The sequence below is a fragment of the Homo sapiens genome, chromosome 15 (genome assembly GCF_000001405.40).
Source record: "Homo sapiens chromosome 15, GRCh38.p14 Primary Assembly".
Taxonomy (NCBI): domain Eukaryota; kingdom Metazoa; phylum Chordata; class Mammalia; order Primates; family Hominidae; genus Homo; species Homo sapiens.
Genome location: NC_000015.10, coordinates 49,033,200 through 49,052,853, shown reverse-complemented (window position 1 = coordinate 49,052,853; position 19,654 = coordinate 49,033,200). Strand labels below are relative to the sequence as shown.

Below are 19,654 nucleotides of genomic sequence, written 5' to 3'. Positions count from 1 at the left end.
AATTAAAGTGAAACATTATGGAAGCAGATCGATCCCAAAACAGATCAGTTTTGTCTATACTGAGAGGGTCACCAAAAGGGTGAACTGTTAAATTAAGTTAAAGCTGCCTCCTTACACATATAGTAAACTGTCACCTAACTGGATGTGTAAACAGACTTTAACTTACTCTTGTACTAATCACGCAGTTTCAGCCAATCATAGGTGGGCAACTGTTCAAACTGTATTCAAATAAGACAAGTACCAAGCTGTAACCAATCCAGCTGTTTCTGTACCCCGCTTCCATTTTCTGTACCTCACTTTCTATAAGTATGATTGGATCATGTGGGAACCCCAGAGTCTCTCTGAGCTTATTCTGGTTCTGGGGACCTGCTCAATTGGCAGATCATTCTTTGCTTAATTAAATTCTTAAATTTAATTTGTCTACAGTTTCTCTTTGAACACTACTAAACCTTTTAATAATAAAATTGTAATAATAATCCAGTTTTTCAATAGTCATTTAGATGTGTTTTTATATCCCAGAAGTATTAATTTTAACATTTTGCTATTCAGCATTCAGACAAAATGTGAATTCAATGCACTTCTTTAAAATTCTCCAAATGGCTTTTTGACTTAAAGTTAAATCCAAATTCTTTACCATGGCTTGCAAATTAGTACAAAATCTGGCCTGGTCTAGTCTTCCATTCTATCTATTGTCCATACTACTCTCCCCCTCCTACCATTCACTATTCACACTGGTCTCTCCTTTCTGTTTCCACAATTTAAGAGTTTCCCCTCCTGAGGCCTTTGCTTGTCTTTTCTCTATCTTTTTGTATTTCTCAAATCTCACATCAGATATCACCTCTTCAGTGGTCAACCATCTAAGGTAATCCATTTCTTCCTCCTAGGGACTTTGTGCCCTGCATCCCAGCCGCTCCAGCCATGGCTAAAAGGGACCAAGGTACAGCTCGAGCCATGGCTTCAGAGGGTGTAAGCCCCAAGATTTGGCAGCTTCCATGTGGTATTGAGCCTGTGGGTGAACAGGAGTCAAGAATTGAGTTTGGGAATCTCTGCCTAGATTTCAGAGGATGTATGGAAATGCCTGGATGTCCAGGCAGAAGTTTGCTGCAGGGGTGGGGCACTCATGGAGAACCTCTGCTAGGGCAGTGTGGAAGGGAAATGTGGGGCGGGCACCCCCACACAGAGTCCCCACTGGGGTACTGCCTAGTGGAGCTATGAGAAGAGTGCCACCTTCCTCCAGACCCCCGAATGGTAGATCCACTGACAGCTTGCACTCTGTGTCTGGAAAAGCTGCAGACACAACACTAGCCCATGAAAGCAGCTGAGAGGGAGGCTGTACCCTGCAAAGCCACAGAGGAAGAGCTGCCCAAGACCATGGGAACCCACTTCTTCCATCAGCGTGACCTAGATGTGAGACATGGAGTCAAAGCAGATCATTTTGGAGTTTCAAGATTTGACTGCCCTGCTGGATTTCAGACTTGCATGAGACCTGTAGCCCCTTTGTTTTGGCCAATTTCTCCCACTTGGAATGGGTATATTTACCCAATGCCTGTACCCCCATTGTATCTAGGAAGTAACTAACTTGCTTTTGATTTTACAGGATCATAGGCAGAAAGGACTTGCCTTGTCTCAAATGAGACTTTGGACTGTGGACTTTTGAGTTAATGCTGAAATGAGTTAAGACTTTGGGGGACTGTTGGGAAGGCACAGTTGGTTTTGAAATGTGAGGACATGAGATTTGGGAAAGGCTGGGGCAGAATGATATGGTTTGCTGTGTTCCCACCCAAATCTCATCTTGAATTGTAGCTCCCATAATTCCCTTGTGTTGTGGGAGGGACAAAGTGGGAGATAAATAAATTATAGGGCAGTTTCCCTCATACTGTTCTCACGGTAGTGAATAAGTCTCATGAGAGCTGATGGTTTTATAAGGGGAAACCCTGTTCACTTGGGTCTCATTCTGTTCTCTTGTCTGCCACCATGTGAGATGTGCCTTTCACCTTCCACTGTGGTTGTGAGGCCTCCACAGCCAGGTGGAACTGCAAGCCCATTAAACCTCTTCCTTTTGTAAATTGCCCAGTCTCAGGTATGTCTTTATTAGCAGCATGAAAACAGACTAATACAATGACTCACGAAGGGTACTGTTTTGTATACCTTATACATACCCACACCTCCCATGGGCAAAAGGAGATGCTTCCCCTTACCTCAAGCTATGTGAGAGAAACTTTCTGGGAAACACTTGGAGAACTTGATACATGTTGCCTGGAGTGTGGTAGAATACAAGGACCTGAGAGAAACAGTGGGAACAAGCTGCATTTTTGCCTACTGTAGCTATATAAGTTTTTCCCAGGGCAAAGTGTACTGAAGTCTGTAATCTACTTTGACATGCACCAAAAATAAGACAAATTAATAGCTGGATAAAGGGACGGAGGGATGGATAGCTACATGATAAATCAAGTGTAGCAAAATGATCCCAGGGATTGATGGGATCCCAGGAATTCTGCCTGAAGCCATTTTAAAAGGGAATCCAGCAAATAAGGCTGGCTTGCTCTTCCCCAAATTGATCAAGCTGAGATTTAAACCCTCAGAAGCACAAGGGCTGAGGGCTAGGGTCATAAGTGACTGCTCTGAGATGACTTTGCTGCATGTAAACATGCAGGAAAGTAGTAATTAAACATCTGAGAAGCTCTGCCATCCTCCCCCTCACAGTCCAAACCTAGAGAAATCTAAAAGCCTAATCTGAGTATTTAAGGTACAGGAGGTGGAGATAAAAAATGTAGAAAACAAAACTGAAGTGGACCAAGCCACGTCCTTCACTGCAGGCTTCCAGCTTGAAGCAGGACTGAGCTGGGGAAAAGGAGAAGTTTTGACGTGGAATAAAGTTTGTGTGACCTTCACGAGATTTCATCCAAGGCAGAAAAAGAAATCATCTTCAGAGAATTTGAAGGTACAGGACAATAAATAATAATTCTACTTGCACCCTAGTGAATCCTGCTCCTTCAATAAAATGCACATGCCTAACAAAACCCCAACCCTGGATGAAAGAATCCTGATTTAATATAATATTACAGCTCATTTATTCAATAAATATTTGTGGAGCACCTGTTGCATGCTAGGCTTTGGTATAGGTAGTAAGAATAACAACAATGTATAAGACAAGCATTTGATATAAGTAGAGAAGTTTTCAATGTCACTGGAGGTAATGGTGACATTCTATGTTTTGATAGAGATTTGAATTACATAGGTGTATGCGTTTGTTAAAGCTAGAATTCAATATTTGGTTATAGTTTTTTCTTTTGAGATAAAATGTACATATAATGACATGTACATAATTTAACTATATGTTTGCTGAATTTTGACAAGTGCCTAGTCACCACAACTCCACCTCTCTTTATTGTCAGCAGGTAACCTTGCCTCCTACATCACTGAGAAAACAGAAGCCATTAGGCATTCCCTCAACTTTTGGCACCAAACTTACAAATGTATATAATCTGTAGCCATATTGATCTTTTCTTCCTTTCTTCTGTTACAGTAGATAACATGCCCCTACTCCCATCAAAGGCCTCTTTCTTGCCCCTGGTATTTGTGTCCTATCCCCTCCGAGCTTCTCAGAGGCCTTCATCTATTGGATTATCCCTCACATTCTGAACCCTCATTCCAAGGGATGAGCTTGTGTGAGTACTAAAGGCTGAATTTTCTCTTTCCTCAGAATGCTAACATGTGCCATTTCCTCTTCTTGAAACAATTTTCCTACTTCTTCTCCTTTACTGATCATAACTCCTACTCAGGTCTTTTTGTAGATGCTATTTACTCAAATAGCCTTCCCTGACCTTCCATCCCTTACCATGGTAGCACCTATTATACTTCCTTTTTCATTACACTCATCTCACTTATAAAGACTTCTCCTATGCATGTCTTGCCCACAAGACAAACATGGTCTCAGCCCTCAAGGTGTCTCATAAACTGCTGTACCTCTAGTATTTAGCATAGTACCTTGCACATTAAATATTTATTGGTGAATAAAATAATTTGCATTCATTTATATCATCTGTAAAGTGTAGTATTTTTAATATGTCTTACTTTTTTTCACAGATTTTAATTTTTTATCTACTAGCTATTGCCATCTTTTTAAAGATTACATTAAATGAGAAGGGCATTGTGACATTTCTGTTCTCATAATTCTTATGATTCTGTTCTTATAATTTTAATGAATGTCTTGTACATAGATTCTCAATGAAAACAATTTTACAGTCATAAAAATCCTATAATGTGGAAAGATCCTTGGGAATCCTATATTTAAATTTCCTCAGATCATTCCTCAGAAGAAGGAAGAAAAGCAAAAGTACTATAGTATTTTTATGAGTGCATTGCTATTATCTTTTTACTCAGATGAGGGTATATTATGGCTATAGACCACCAGTAGGAAGACAATCTGAAAATTCAGTTATTTTGTCTTTCAATTGTGAAGGAGGACGGTCATCTGTTAGTTTACATAACTACTCCTTATAAATAACTTAGTTTTTCTGAGCAACCAACCCTAAATTCATTCAGCATTCACTGAATCCCAGCTAGGTGTGTGATAGGCACCAGGGACCTAACATTACGTTAATTGCACATATATTTACAAATGTTACATAAATTTGCAGTTCAAATACACATGCATTGATATTAAATTTGAGGTGGCAGAAAATTTACTAAAATTAAATAAATATATTTAAATGTAAATATAAATGTGTAAATATAAATGTTTCTCCTTTCAAGATGTTTCTATTGCCAGCCTTGATATAAGTCTTGCTGACACAATATAGCTCCTTTCAGCAGGCCAATATATAATACAGGTTGAATGTCCCTTATTTTGACATACTTGAAACCATAAGTGTTTCAGATTTTGGATTTTGGAAGATTTGCATTATACTTACTGGTTGAGCATCTCTAAACTGGAAGTCCAAAATCTGAAATGTTCCAGCGAACATTATCCTTAAATGTCATGTCTGTGCTCAGAAAGTTTCTAATTTTGGAACATTTGGGATTCAAGAGGGTTTGGAATTTCATAGTTTCCATTAGAGATACCCAACCTGTATCAACATAAGTACAGCAAGGGGCCTTCACATAACAAGCCTCATATTGGAGTCTAATAACCAGACTAATAACCTAGACTAACTGAAAAGGCAATTAGTCTTTACTGATATCTCCTGAAGCATGACAAAGCAAATTTCTTAAAATCTCTTTCCCATTCCTAGCTGTGGATCTCCACACCAGTGCCCCAAACAGCAGCCACCTCAACTCTACCTTCACTTAAGTGTAATTTAGCTTATACAGTTGTCCCTAAGTATCCCAGGGGGGATATTGGCTCCAGGATCCCTGCTGATACCAAAATCCATGAGTGCTAAAGATCCTTATATAAAATGGTGTAGTATTTGCATACAATCCATGCATATCCTCCGATATACTTTAAATCATCTCTAGATTACTTATAATACCTAATACAATGTAAATGCTGTATAAGCAGTTGTTAAACTGTATTACTTGTATTTTATTGTTGTACTTGATATTTCTTTTTTCCTCAAAATATTTCTATCCGCAGTTGGTTGAATCTTCACAGAGGGTGTGGGTGTTGGAGGGTGTGTCTGAGGAGATGCCCAGAAGAAATTTGCCATGCTAACGGTAGTGCCCAGTTTCAAGACAGTCTCTGCCCTTAAGGAGCTAAGGATCTGAAGATAAAATAATTACCCGTTGGGTGGTGTTATACAGATCCTGCATAAAATTAGGATTTCTGAGATGGGCGAGGTCAGCCTGGATGTGAGCCTAGAAGTGGGCATGAACCTGGATAATGAATTAACTCTCAATAAATATTTGTGGGGAGCTTCCTAGCGGGCCTCTTCCAGTCATTCTGTGTATGCGTTTTACATATGCATTTTTCTAGGGCAAGACTCCATTATTTTCAGAATATTCTCATTCCTTTATAGTCATGACTCCCTTTATTTGCGTAACATAAGGAAGGAGCAGATGTACGGTGGGCAGATGAAAGCTTTTCCAACATCACTAAGAGGTGGTTTCAGATCCTGAAGAGGTCTTTGAAGTCCCGGGAGACCTGGGTCCCAAGTGGTCTGACACTTCTCGTTTAACAGTCGCAGGGGTGGCGTGTGGTTCGGGGCACCTGCTCCTGGGCGCCTCCACCTGGCCTTAGCCTCCAGGCCAGGCCGGGTTCCTCCTACCCTTGCTGAGGCCATTTGCTGTCACTCCGCCCACTGCCCCTCTCTGCCTCCTCCCCACTCCTTTTCCTTCCGTGCGCCTCCATTTCTAACTACGCCTCCAGCCCATTCGGGCCCTCCTCGGCTTCCGTCCCAGATGATCCCTCCCCGAAGCTGCCACCGCCTCCTCCATCTCCCGGAGCTGGAGCCGCCTCCTCGGCCAGTGGCGTAGCCGAATCGGTGTCGCGGCCAGCCAGATAGGGGCGGAGGTCCGGAACCCAGTCTGGACCCGAGCGGGGGGCCATGGAGAAAGCGGCCCGAGGCGCTGTTTACACCGACTAGCGCGGGCCCGTTGCGGCTGCAGGCACCATGGACCGAGCCCCCACGGAGCAGGTACGCGGGTTTGGGCTGGGCCCGCCGAGCCGGGGGTTGGGGTCGCCGCTTCCTCACAGGCCAGGCCCAGTTCTCCGAACGTGGGGACCGGGGGCCGGTCCTGCGGCCGCAGACCCCCTCACCTGGGAGCCTGGCAGCTCCCAGCTCTCCTTCATTGTTCCAGCTGCTGCCTGGGACTTGGGGGCTTTTCCAACCCTGATTACTTCCCAGGCGGAGGGCTCGCCGTTGCCGCTTCTCCCCTGCTTGGTGAAGGGGTCAGAAGGCTCCAAGTTGTCCCTGCTCTCCTGGGAGGAGGGCTTATAACTTCTAGTAGTCTCCCCGCTTCCCCCATTCCCTTCAGCTCTGGAATGTGTTTTCAAGGTGGAAAGGCGTTTGAAGGCTTCTCACCCAGAAAGACTGTAAGAGAATGTGTGGTAACTACAGATGAAGGGAAGTCACGGGCCTTTTAGGTCTGTGTTCAATGGAGCGAAGCATTGTTTTTGCAGTGGTTTTACGGAGGTGTTTCTTTTAAGAAACGATACTACGATTTCCCCTTGTCCTTTTATCCAGTTATTTTGCAAAGAATTGTAATTAGTGGGTTTTTTTTTAAAGCTAGCTCTATTTTAAGGGTGTAAAGCATAAGCTTATTTTCGAACCCGTTTTCATATTCGCAAAGTAGTCCTATTAGTGTTCTGTTTTATTTTTATTTGCATCAAATTCCTGATTATGCATGCTAGTAGGTGGTAGCAGGCAGGGATGATAACAGTGTTAAAAGTAATCGAAAACAATAGTTTCCCCCCCAGTATTTTCCACTCTTAAGATCTCTGCGAAACGACTTAATTTGAAGTCCAAGTTTATTCACTCTCTATTCCCTTCTTCGAAGGCCTTGCCCATTGATGACTAGATGACGGAAGAAGAGAGGCTAGTAATTTCTGCCTATTAATTTTACAGTTGGATAATTAGCACCTGAATTAATGAGATAAGATTTCCCAAATTCCTGTATGTGTCTATATGTAGTTGAAGCCGGTTTGTATTTTGAAATCGGACTCTTAGCAGGCAAAGCACAGCTTCCTAGTTGTGTATACTTGTTTTTACAGAAGACTTTTTTTTTTAAAAAAAAGCTTTATGTGAATGTAACTCTGAAGACACAAATGAGTTTTATAAAACAATACATGGAATTACCAAAGAGAAATTGATACAGAGTCTCTTGGCAAATACACTTAGGCATTTATGTGACCCAGAAGTATTCTGTATACAGCCTGTATCTAGTTTAATTTAAAAACATTTTTGAAGGTATCTATCATAAATACCTGAGATTTCAAAGCCTGACAAATGAATACGAATTTTCCTTGAATCATTTCCTTGTATGTGTGTTACTAATGAAAGGGTTCAACATTTTGTTCCTTCACTAGGATGCCAGGACTAAAACCAGTAATGCTACCTTATGTATACTTAGAGTTCCTTTCATCCTAGAGGAAATATAATTAACTATTTAGATGGTAATTTTTAGCATAGCTGTTTGTGATTATCCTAGCAGCAAGTGCTGTGAGCAAATTATTTAAACTAGAGAGCCTTTTCCCCTTTCCACATCTTTCCAAAGTCCACGACCTATTAAAACCTTGTAGAAATTTAAGAACTAGGAAAAAAACATGGAAGAAGGTTTTCTGTTGACTTTTTTTTCTTCCAGTACTTCTTGCCTCTTCCCCAGCCTAACCCTAAATGAAAGAATAATTTGAAAATCCTCCACTTCCCTATACACTCAGAAAATATATATAGAAAAGTGATGTCTTCACCTCATTTATGCGATAGGCAGTTAATTCAGGGGTCCATGAATGACCTAGAAGGAGTATGCTTCTTTATATGCCTTTTTCTAGGGCAAGAATCCATTATTTTCATCGTATTCTCAAAGGACGGCTAAGAACCATTAACTTAATAGTAGATTGGGAACTGAGATTTCTCAATTTTGTGGAATTCTTGATTCTTTATGCCATAGAGTCATGTAATGGCTTTTCCAGGATATTTGGATTATACTTTTGTATTTCTACTATTGAAGTGAATTTAGGTAGATTGACGTCATTGAAAAGTATATGTAATATGTGTCAATTTCCATTTTTCCTCACAGAATGTTTTTTTCCCTTTAGACCAGTGTTGACATACTCAGAATTTCTCTAGATGCCTACAGCATTAAAACTTACTCATTATAGTATTGTGGTAGTTAGCAATTCATAGAAGTTTGGTTTTTAAAAAGTAGTACTTAATATAGACTTTCTGCATTTTATCTTAACCTAATTAAATCCTTGTGTACTTTACAAGTGTAACTTTAAAAAAAAAACGCTTTTTTTTTGCCTGAAGGCATTCATGTTCTTGTTCTTGTGAATTACCTTTTTTTAATATATAAAATCTTTTTATAGAAAAGGTAAATTGTATGTGTGCTGATCAAGATTGTAAAAAGTAACTTACTGGGAATACAGTGCTAGATGGATAATCTTAATTGCAATAATGATTATTTGAAAGAATGTTATAACTAGAAGAAAATCTTAGGAGTATCCTCTTTCAGCACTTTTTATAGAGTATTCTCTGTATTTAATCAAAATAGCTAGCTTAATTTTAACTGCCAGAGTTAAATATTCTAAGAATATGTGTTGCTTGGTATATAATGCATTTTTTCCCCTGAAAAAAAAAAAAAAACTTGCATTTTGAGATGTGAAGGATAAATCATGGAGTTCATTTTGTTTATAAAGGCTTACTGGTTCTATTTTTAGGAAATTTATTGAGATTTTTTAAAGTAAACAATGGGCTTAGAAGTGACAGAACACTTGAGGTTAACAGTCTCTTTTCTGTTATCACAAATAATTTAAATGTTGGCTTAATTTTTAGTACATTAACATTAGTTCTTTTAAAAGAATTTATAAGATTACTAGTTATTAATGTCTTTAATTTTTGGAAAAACTAATGAATACGTATGATTTCATGCAACATGCGTTTTACCAATCAGGATAGAAAATTGTCTAGCTTTTCATTGTTTCCTTTAAATAATTTATAAACTTTAAGTAATGTCAGTACTCCAAATGAAATGTATTCTAAATAAGTTATTTTAAATGTTTATTATTCAGTAATACGTATAGTTGGCCCTTACGTAAGGATATAAGTAAATGAGCTGTCTTATCAGATTTAAAAAATAATATGTTCATAATAAAAAAGTATTAATATATACATTTAGGGAAAATAGCATTTGGAAATTTAAAAAGACATTTTCTGTTTTTTCTTTTTGAGACGGAGTCTCACTCTGTCACCCAGGCTGGAGTGCAATGGTACTGTCTCAGCTCACTACAACCTCGCCTTCCCAGTTCAAGCAGTTCTCCTGCCTCAGCCTCCTGAAGCTGGGATTACAGGTGTGCACCACCACACCCAGCTAATTTTTGTATTTTTAGTAGAGATGGGGTTTCACCATGTTGTCCAGGCTGGTCTCGAACTTCTGACCTCAGGTGATCCACCCACGTCGGCCTCCCAAAGTGCTGGGATTACAGGCTGAGCCACTGCACCTGGCCAAAAAGACATTTTCAAGCTCTTAGGTCAAAAAAGAATAAAAAGTAGTATGATAGGTTATTAAAAATGTGTTAATAATAAAATACCACATATGAAAAACCTATGGGGCCCAGCATGGTGGTGTACACCTGTAGTCCCAGCTGCTAAGGAGGCTAAGGCAGGGGCATCGCTTGACCCTACCTCGGTGTTCTGGACTGTAGTGTGCTATGTGGATCAGGTATCTGCACTAAGTTCAGCATCAATATGATAACCTCCCTGGAGTGGGGAAACTCCAGGTTGCCTAAGGAAGGGTGAACTGGCCCAGGTCAGAAATGAAGCATGTAGAAACTCTGGTGCTGATCAGTAGTGAGATCACACCTGTGAATAGCCACTGTACTCCAGCCTGGACAACATAGTGGGACCCCATCTCTAAAACAAACAAACAAACAAACAAAAAACCTATGGAATGTGGCTGAAGCTATACTCTGAGGCAAATGCATAGTCATAAATGCCTTCATTGTTAAACAGTTTACAAGGAGAATGAAAATTAAGCATCCAAGGCAAGAAGTTAGAGGGGAAACTCCATCAAATCAAAAGAGAAAATAATAAGTTAAAAACAAAGTAGTGGATAATTCAGAAACTAATATTAAATCTAGAAAGCTGGTTTTTTAAAAAAGTAACCATCAGATTTAAAAAACATTAGATTTGGTCTGTTTTTTAAAAAGGAAAAGTATGGGTAGCAAAGCATTCTGCCCAGTATGGGCAGAATCTAAGTTAAATACTTTGATTTGTCTTCCTCATTATTGTCTGGAGTCTGTGAAACTTACACGTGTAAGTACTGTGTTTTGTTTCGGCATTTTAATCAAAAAAACAGCACAGCTAGTAGTTATCTCTTAAGCATTAATCATTTTTCCCTTCAGAGGACATTTATTTTATCTTTTGCCATGAGATGTAAAATATCTTAAAGTTTGAGATATTCTATTTTTACCTTAACATAGAAAGAATATGGAGGGTTTCCATGGTCATATTTTTTCTGTGGGTGTGTGGTACATACTCTGGAGTTTCACTGTGGGAGAGTGTCTCGTTATGTTCCAACTTCAGTTTTGATTTTAAGTGGGTGTCAGTTTTTTATTGCTTAATCTGGGAAAATTATTTGCATTCATCTGGAGGTTCCATGTCTGAGGAATTTAGTGTACATTCTCTGCCGACGTGTGCTTTGTGGTAATGTTTGCCCATTTTCCCTAACCCAGTCCAGCACAGTGCTCTTTCCGGAATGTATGCTAAATGCACGTTTGTTGAATTATATAGGCTCTCAATGATCTGAATACATTTGTCTAATAAACTCTTTTAAATAACATTTTTGTTTCATACTCTGACAGAGTCTTGAGCTTTCTAGATTATTTACATCAAAGGCATTTTGTTTATAGACATTTGCCTTAATGTACACAAAATAAAAAGTGAACATGAAACTGCTTAAATATTTTTACAAAGATGATTCTGGGACTATGATTTTTTTCATTAATTTGGAAAATTCTGAAATAATTTCTGAAAGATGAAGATAGTTTTGCTATGTAGATGGTTGTGCTTTTTTGTGAAGCAAATAATACAAGAATGATTAGACTTTGTTAAGTGTAGTTTACATTTATTCCATATTTATTTCCTTTATGAAGACAACTCTCTGCTATGAAAGTTCTTATTCCTAAAAAATAGATCTTGGCAAAAGTAGAGAGACTAAACACAGAAATTCAAACTGAGGAATAACGTTCTATAATGTATCTAGTCTAGTTTTTTCATACATTTTGTTGTTCACTATGCAAGGCTTTTTTTTTTATTTGTATAATAATATAATTAAAACACTGCCAGAATTTGTTATTTATTTAACATGTTAATGTTATGGGCTTTATTATGTGGACTTTTAAGAATAGTTTGGGATCGGCCGGGCGCGGTGGCTCACGCTTGTAATCCCAGCACTTTGGGAGGCCGAGGCGGGCGGATCACGAGGTCAGGAGATCGAGACCATCCTGGCTAACACGGTGAAACCCCGTCTCTACTAAAAATTCAAAAAAAAATTAGCCGGGCGTGATGGTGGGCGCCTGTAGTCCCAGCTACTCGGGAGGCTGAGGCAGGAGAATGGCGTGAACCCTGGAGGCGGAGCTTGCAGTGAGCCGAGATTGCGCCACTGCACTCCCGCCTGGGCCACAGAGCAAGACTCCGTCTCAAAAAAAAAAAAAAAAAAAAAAAAAAGAATAGTTTGGGATCATAACACTCCTTTTCAGTCCTGAGAACAACAGATGCTGCATTTTGATGTATATTACTGAAGGCCCCAAAGTCACAATAAACAGCTTTTGAAACCATACAGAGTTGTAGCTATAGGAGAAAGTTTGCCAGTCTGTTCCTACTAGTGACATCTTCTGTTTGTGCAGCTGTTGACTATAGCAGCTTCTCTCTCTCTCTTTTGTGTGTGTGCTAAAAACAAAGGATCATTTTAGTGTTTGTGAGTTTTATTGTTGAACTCTGATAACTAGAATTGCACTTAGAAACCAATACAAACTTTAATAAAGGCACATACTGTGTATATGTGCAGCCATTAGTTTTGAATTATACATAATACCTTTTAAACAGTAGGTTGCCTAAGTTTATAAAACTTTCTATGAAGTACAAATGAAGTGGGGTGTAAAAATTTTTTGCAGCTTTTGAGCTGAGCAAGAATTTGAATGTATTGCTACCAAAGTAATTTATGAGTTGATATGTTTTGGGGGGAGAGGTCAGAAAAAGTGTTATTTTAAAATTATTTATTTATGATTATATTAGTATGGTTAAGATTGATAATTTGATGTACCCATATACCTTGCTGAAAAAAACCCCGAATGTCTACTAGCTCAGATTTATAAAACTGCTCAGTGAGTTCTCATATGTCGTAAAGAACTTTTTGTTTTTTAAAAGAAATCCTGGCCAGGCTCATGCCTATAATCCCAGCACTTTGGGAGGCTGAGGTGGGAGGATCACTTGAGCCCAGGAGTTCAAGACCAGCCTGGGAAACGTGGCAAAACCCCATCTCTACATTAAAAAGTTTGCTGGGTATGGTGATGTGCACCTGTAGTCCTGACTACTTGGGAGGCTGAGGTGGGAGGATCACTTGAGTCCAGGAGATTGAGGCTGCAATGAGCCATGATGACACCACTGCACCCCACCTCCACCTCCACCCCGTGACAGAGCGAGACCCTGTCTAAAAAAAAAAAAAAGAAAGAAAAAAAAAAGAAATCCTAAAAATTACATTTTTAGTGCAGTTAAACTGTGATTTCAGTTTCTTTTCTTATGCATGTATGTGTGAACTGTATAAAGCAAGCTTCCATTATCTTTGCATTATTGCTGTACGTCGGCTTTTCTTTTTCCTAATTGGGGAAATATTTATTGTTTTGATATATTGTGTCCTATATAAGTGAGTTTGGGTTCTAATGAATATCACAGAGTGAAAATTACTAGCTTGTATCATTAGAGTTTGAAGATATTTTTGCCTCTTATGTTAATCTTTAAGAAACCAACTTCAGTTCACTAATATTTGTATTATTATTATAGTATATCTACTTCTGATTTGGTTAATAGTACAAATGTAAACCTCAAATCAGGTAGGGAGGAAGGATACTGAATTAATACTGCTGGACAGTTCAGATTTTACCATCCCCACCCCTTCCCTTTTAACAAGCATTTATAAATATTTACAGTGAACTTTTTAGAGAAGTTAATTTTTCTGAAACAAATGAGCATATCTCATCTTCAGATTTTTTACTTGGATTCCTTACTAGCTGCTTTTGTGAGAAACATGAAATTTATTCTTACAACTATGTTTTGGTGGGAGCCTCTAATAAATATCACCCTAGTGGGTTTGTTGGGAAAAAGTTCTGGCTAGGACCATGGCTTTTAAGGTAATTTTTTACAGTAGTTAAAAACATTAGCTTGCATTTCACTTACTGGTTTCATTAAAACATGTTTCATATCATTTGATATTATAATATTTATATGATTTTTTACAGAATGTACTTAATGATTTCAAAAAATAATTTAAAATGTTAAATTTGTTGTTAACTATAACATATAGAAACTGCATAAAACCAATGTACAGCTTGATGAATTGTTACAGGACAAACACCTTGTAAATTTTATCCTGGTTAGGATATAGAACTTTGCCAGGCACCCTGGAAGCTCTCCAGATTCCTCTTAATCACAACTCTCTTTGCTAAGAATAATTCCTATCCTGACTTTTATGGATTTTATTTACTTTTCTTTATAGTTTTGTTGCCCATATGTGCATCCCTAAATACTACAGGGTTTTTTTTTTTTTTATGTCTTTTAAATCTCTATAGATTTCTTGTAAGAAAAGATACAAAGTAAACTAAAATGGATTACATATCTTGGATTACTTTAGTTTACTCACATGTGTACTGGGAAACTGAAGTACTCATATTTTCCCCAGTTTAACTGTGCAGATTTTTTCTTGTTAATGTTAAGTATTTTTTCATCTTAGACATTTTTTCTTTTAATGATACTGATCTAATTTCCAGAAATGGACAGAAATAGACAACTTTTAAGACTATTCAAACAAATATAGAGTAATAATTATCCTTCATAATTTTGTTCAATTTTTCCCCCAACAAAATGAGTTAAAAACACATTGTTTTGTCTGAAGAGCTACATCTCTTACTACCAACTTTATTTTTAGAACCTGAGGTATAACTTCTGTGTTCTCTTGATTGTTTTAACAGCTTTAATTACATTGAAATGTAACATTTGGTTTATTTTCCTTATTTGATGGCTTTGTCTAAATAACTTGATCATTATTCAGTTATTTTAAAATTGACATTGCTCTTCCTTTTGGATGTTTTATGAATGCTGAGAAGAGACCTAATTACTGTTTATAAGGACTGACTCTTCTGTTGTTAAATTTTGAATTTGTAGGAAGTTGCTTGCTCATTTGTTATTAATGTATTCTACTTTCTCTTTGAAGAATGTCAAGCTGTCAGCTGAGGTGGAGCCATTTATTCCCCAGAAGAAGAGTCCTGATACATTTATGATCCCTATGGCTCTCCCAAATGATAATGGAAGTGTTTCTGGTGTGGAACCAACTCCAATTCCCAGCTACCTGATTACTTGTTACCCATTTGTGCAGGAAAACCAGTCCAATAGGTAATTTGTTTATTTTTATTTTCTTTTTTGTGGGGGTGGCTATAAAAGCTGGCAAAGTGCACTTAATATTTTTCCTTTGCAACTTTTAGACTTTAACCATTTCTCTATTAAGAGGAGTAAATAAAATGATACTGAAATTTGGAAATTGTTGATATGGATTAGTTTCTCATTTTTTCTAAGAGAAAATTGAATTCTTAGGCTATGTCTCCTTCAGTAAGTCATTGAAATTTATTTGAAGTAAGTCAGCTCAAAGGGAGAAATAAAATATTCAGAGGTGAACAAAAACCTTTTTTTTTTTTTTTTTTTTTTTTTTTTTTTGAGATTGAACATCTAATCTCATAGTTGCCAAGATAGTCTCTGGTGTAAAAGAAAATACCAAGCAATAGTCCTTAACTTTGAAGCTGTCATGGTTAGCATATATTAGTATTTCTAGACTCAGATTTTAGTTTAAATTTATGTCTGTGCTATAGTTACAGGATGATTTAGCAAAATTGCCCGCAATTAGGTCATGTGTAACCTAGTGGTTAGGGTGTTACTTATGATAGTCGTGATAGCCATTCTAACCCTGCTTATACTGTCTGAGTGATTAGCACTTCATTGGTATAGTTTATTTTATGGCTGTATAAAAGTACTTTCAGCCTTTTTCAAGTTATGTCACACAGAAAATTTCGTTTTTCTAGGACTGTAAATGGATGAGGCAGCTGTTAACTGGCTATAGGCTCTGTCATTCCTGAGGGCTGAGTCAATCAATATTTCCACCCATCTATAAACCACTGTTGCACATTAGTGTGCCAGTGCACATTCTTTGAGAAATTGTGGATGTATGGTATATAAGGCCATTCAACTACTCAAATATTAAATGTTCAAGTTAATATTCTGAGGCTGTTAATCAAGAGTCTTGAGGGTTAGACAAATAGTAGAAACTAAGGAATCATTTTCAATTGAAGTTAGCATGATATTAAATATCTTTGCCTATATTGGATAATGTGCAAACTGATTCATGAAACTAAATTTAATAATACTATTTTTCTATTTGAAAAAATGGCCAAGTATACAGTATGATAAACTTAATTGATTTTCTTGGTTTACCAAATAATCTTTGTGAATTTATGAGTAAACAAGCCAACAGATTATTTAAAAAATATTTTTAAGAATATGGCCGTGAACATTTTACTATTTTGCTTTGTCATGGGAGTAATGAGGAAAAGCCCTATGCTTCAACTCCCTAGTCCTTAGGACCCCATATTGATTTGGTGAGGGGGCTGCTGGGACAGGAAGAATTTTGCTAGTGTTTTATATGAACTGCATTAGAAGAAGCTCCACTCCTGAAGATGTCAGTGGACAGATTTGCCTCTTCTCTTCTTTCCCTTGGACCCAGAGCCTGCTTCTATTGCCAGGAGGGGAGCCAGGAAAAGAGCTGGACTTGGCCAAGTGATTAGGGGAGTATGAGAGGAGGAGTAGGAGGCTCTGAGATTGAGCTGAAAATGAGGAATTAAATCACCCTATGTAAAGATCACCTTACACAATGGTCACTTTACTCTGTTCTTTACAGAAGGCTGTCACGGTTGTGTACCTTGAATGGGAACTTTGGACTGCCATTGTTGGTAGATACAGTAGCTAGGTGTTTAACTTTTAGGCAGAAATATCTTGAGGAATTGGAAGGCAGAGTTACAGACAATGCTGGTATGTGGAATACTGTAAAACCATCAGGTTGGGTTCGTTTATACTGTTGTTTACATTGTTACTGCATGTACATAATGATCTCTATAGCAAAGAAATTTATAAGATGATGATAGTTTTGTCTCCTTTCCCAAAATTATCATGAAGCCACTGTTCTGTTTTGTCTTTTATTAGTGTAAGTTAAGAGATTTTGCTTTAGTGGTATTTTTAGACTTGTCAATAGATTTGTTCTTCTTTGATTTGGTTTTGCAGACAGTTTCCTTTATATAACAATGATATACGATGGCAACAACCCAATCCAAACCCTACTGGACCATACTTTGCCTATCCCATTATATCTGCTCAGCCGCCTGTTTCTACAGAGTATACATATTATCAGCTGATGCCAGCACCATGTGCCCAGGTTATGGGTTTCTATCATCCTTTTCCTACACCTTACTCCAACACCTTTCAGGCTGCAAATACTGTAAATGCTATCACCACAGAATGCACTGAGCGTCCAAGTCAGCTTGGACAGGTCTTCCCATTGTCCAGCCATCGAAGCAGAAACAGTAACAGAGGATCAGTGGTCCCAAAAGTAAGTGTCTGGTCTTGATTGGCTTTTAAATTTGATATTACTTATATTAGTATAAGCAATTTGCTACTTGGGTTGATTGACCATTAATGCTGAATTTACTATAAAACATATTGTTCACTATTGTAAAATGGTAAAGGGTATGTAATTCTTAAAATAATTTTCTTTGTGTTGTTTGTTCCTCATTCTTAATTGTGATATGATTTATAATCATTTTCACATTCCTTTAGAGAGTTTTACATAACATAAGGCAGAAATATTTACAAATAAATTTAGTGATAAAAATTGCATGGTGACACTAACATTTGTAAGTGATTAGTGTGGATCTTGTGCTAGCTGTGTTGAATGGCTAATGCACTTCAAGATATTTCAATGGGCCAGGTGTAGTGGCCACACCTATAATCCCAGCACTTTGGGAGGCCGAGGCAGGCTAGTCGCTTGAGCCCAAGAGTTTGAGACCAGTCTGGGCAACATGCGAAACCCCATCTCTACCAAAAATACAAAAATTAGCTGGGTATGTTAGTGCATGCCTGTAGCTCCAGCTACTTGGGGGCTGAGGTGGGAAGATCGCTTGAGCCCAGGAGGTCAAGACTGCAGTGAACTGAGATAGCACCACTACACTCCAGCGTAGGTGACAGAGTGACACCCTGTCTCAAAAAAAAAAAAACAAAAGATATACTTTCAATCTTCAAAAGTTAGCTGGAGACATTATGGAAAAGAACATTTGTGGTTCATTAGATCGCTTCAACTTTATTGTTTCTACTCTGTGAATTTTTAGTAGGAATAGCACTTTGTTATTTAAGAGGTGCTTTACTTTTATATGAACAAGGGTCTCCTAAGACTGAAGAAAATGGAAGATAAATATGTGAAACCACTTACTCAGTACGAGCCTTTTGACTAAGTAAAAAAAAAAAAAGAAAGAAATGAAGGCTTTGAATCACAAGAGAATTAAGGTTTAATTTTAGTTAACTTTTTAACTTAAAAGGCTATTTTACAGTTGAAGCCTTATTGTCAAAGCTAATGGGAAGAAAGAATGTGTTTCTAGTTGGCACTTTTGAGCTGATAGAAGAGGGACATCTTAGACATATCTTATGAGTACATCATCAAGGAGTTGATGCTTTCCCTAGATTCCATTAGCCCAACTTCTTCAGTGAAGTCTTTGCTGCCTCCTCGTATAATTTCTAAAAATTGAAATACAAGCAGCAGAGATTGCTTTAAAAAGCTTTTAGTTTTTGTTCATGGAAACTTTCTTGGTCAAGAAATATCTTTTCGGGAACTCAGAATGAAAAAAAAAGTGTTGGAAATAAGATAGTAGTATATAATTTACAGATGTTTAAGGAACATGATTTCTTAGAATACATTCCCAGCACTTCAATTTCAGACGTTCAAGAAGTTAAATAAATTCAGAGTTCTATTGTGTAAGTTGCTATTAAGTGATGAATACTTATATTTTTAAAAGTAAAGGAAGAGATCAGTTTATTAATATTGATTGATTGATTGATTGATTGACAGGGTCGGTCTCTGTCAGCCAGACTGGAGTACAGTAGAGCAATCATTGCTCACTGTAATCTCAAACGCCTGGGCTCAAGTGATCCTCCTGCCTTAGCTTCCTGGGTAGCTAAGACTACCGATGCCTTTGTTTTTTTGTTTGTTTGTTTGTTTTGTAGCGATTGGGGGTCTCTGTGTTGCCCAGGCTGGTCCCAAACTCCTGACCTCAAGTGATCTTTCAGCCTAGGAGCCCAGGAGTTTGGGATTATAGGTGTGAACCACTGTGCCCTGCCATGATCAGCTTTTTTATATTTTCATTTTGAACTCTGAAGCAGAAACCATTTTTCATGTCATTGCTTTTCTGAAACTAAAATTTACTTTGGGATAGGTTACTACCCTTTTAAAGAAATTTACAACCCCTTGTATGACATTATTATACCCCTGCTATTAATTATTTTTTTGACTGAGAAAATTAGCAGTTAAAAATGAATTCATTTATTAATCATACTTGTGTTAATTATTATTTGAAAAAGTGTATATATGTGCGTATAATACATTGTTTAGCCTCGTATGCTTTGCTGCAGGCATTTCATGAAACCCTAGTACTATTTCCCCATGGAAGCCAAGAATTGTGAACATACACTTAAGA

General features: G+C 37.7%; 1 protein-coding gene and 1 pseudogene across 2 annotated transcripts in view, besides 4 other annotated features; both read left to right on the top strand.

The window, feature by feature from the left end:
• Positions 5,942–6,071: an enhancer, noted in NCBI's record as "active region_9384". NCBI's record gives its function as "activates an Ori minimal core promoter by ATAC-STARR-seq in GM12878 lymphoblastoid cells {active_cell/tissue: GM12878}" and the evidence as "EXISTENCE:reporter gene assay evidence [ECO:0000049][PMID:35858748]".
• Positions 6,172–6,521: an enhancer, noted in NCBI's record as "active region_9383". NCBI's record gives its function as "activates an Ori minimal core promoter by ATAC-STARR-seq in GM12878 lymphoblastoid cells {active_cell/tissue: GM12878}" and the evidence as "EXISTENCE:reporter gene assay evidence [ECO:0000049][PMID:35858748]".
• Positions 6,408–19,654, top strand: part of SECISBP2L (SECIS binding protein 2 like) — a 57,809-nt gene continuing 44,562 nt past the window's right edge. For both annotated transcript variants that reach the window (NM_014701.4, NM_001193489.2), the window contains exons 1-3: positions 6,408–6,578; positions 15,085–15,263; positions 17,196–17,520. In NM_014701.4, coding sequence (NP_055516.2) covers positions 6,555–6,578; positions 15,085–15,263; positions 17,196–17,520 — 528 coding nt within the window. In that variant the 5' untranslated portion in view covers positions 6,408–6,554. The remainder of the gene's footprint in view (positions 6,579–15,084; positions 15,264–17,195; positions 17,521–19,654) is intronic.
• Positions 6,812–6,951: an enhancer, noted in NCBI's record as "active region_9382". NCBI's record gives its function as "activates an Ori minimal core promoter by ATAC-STARR-seq in GM12878 lymphoblastoid cells {active_cell/tissue: GM12878}" and the evidence as "EXISTENCE:reporter gene assay evidence [ECO:0000049][PMID:35858748]".
• RN7SL577P (RNA, 7SL, cytoplasmic 577, pseudogene) lies at positions 10,211–10,513 on the top strand (annotated as a pseudogene).
• Positions 16,708–17,002: an enhancer, noted in NCBI's record as "tiled region #10237; HepG2 Activating DNase matched - State 5:Enh". NCBI's record gives its function as "activates a minimal TATA promoter and a strong SV40 promoter by Sharpr-MPRA in HepG2 cells {active_cell/tissue: HepG2}" and the evidence as "EXISTENCE:reporter gene assay evidence [ECO:0000049][PMID:27701403]".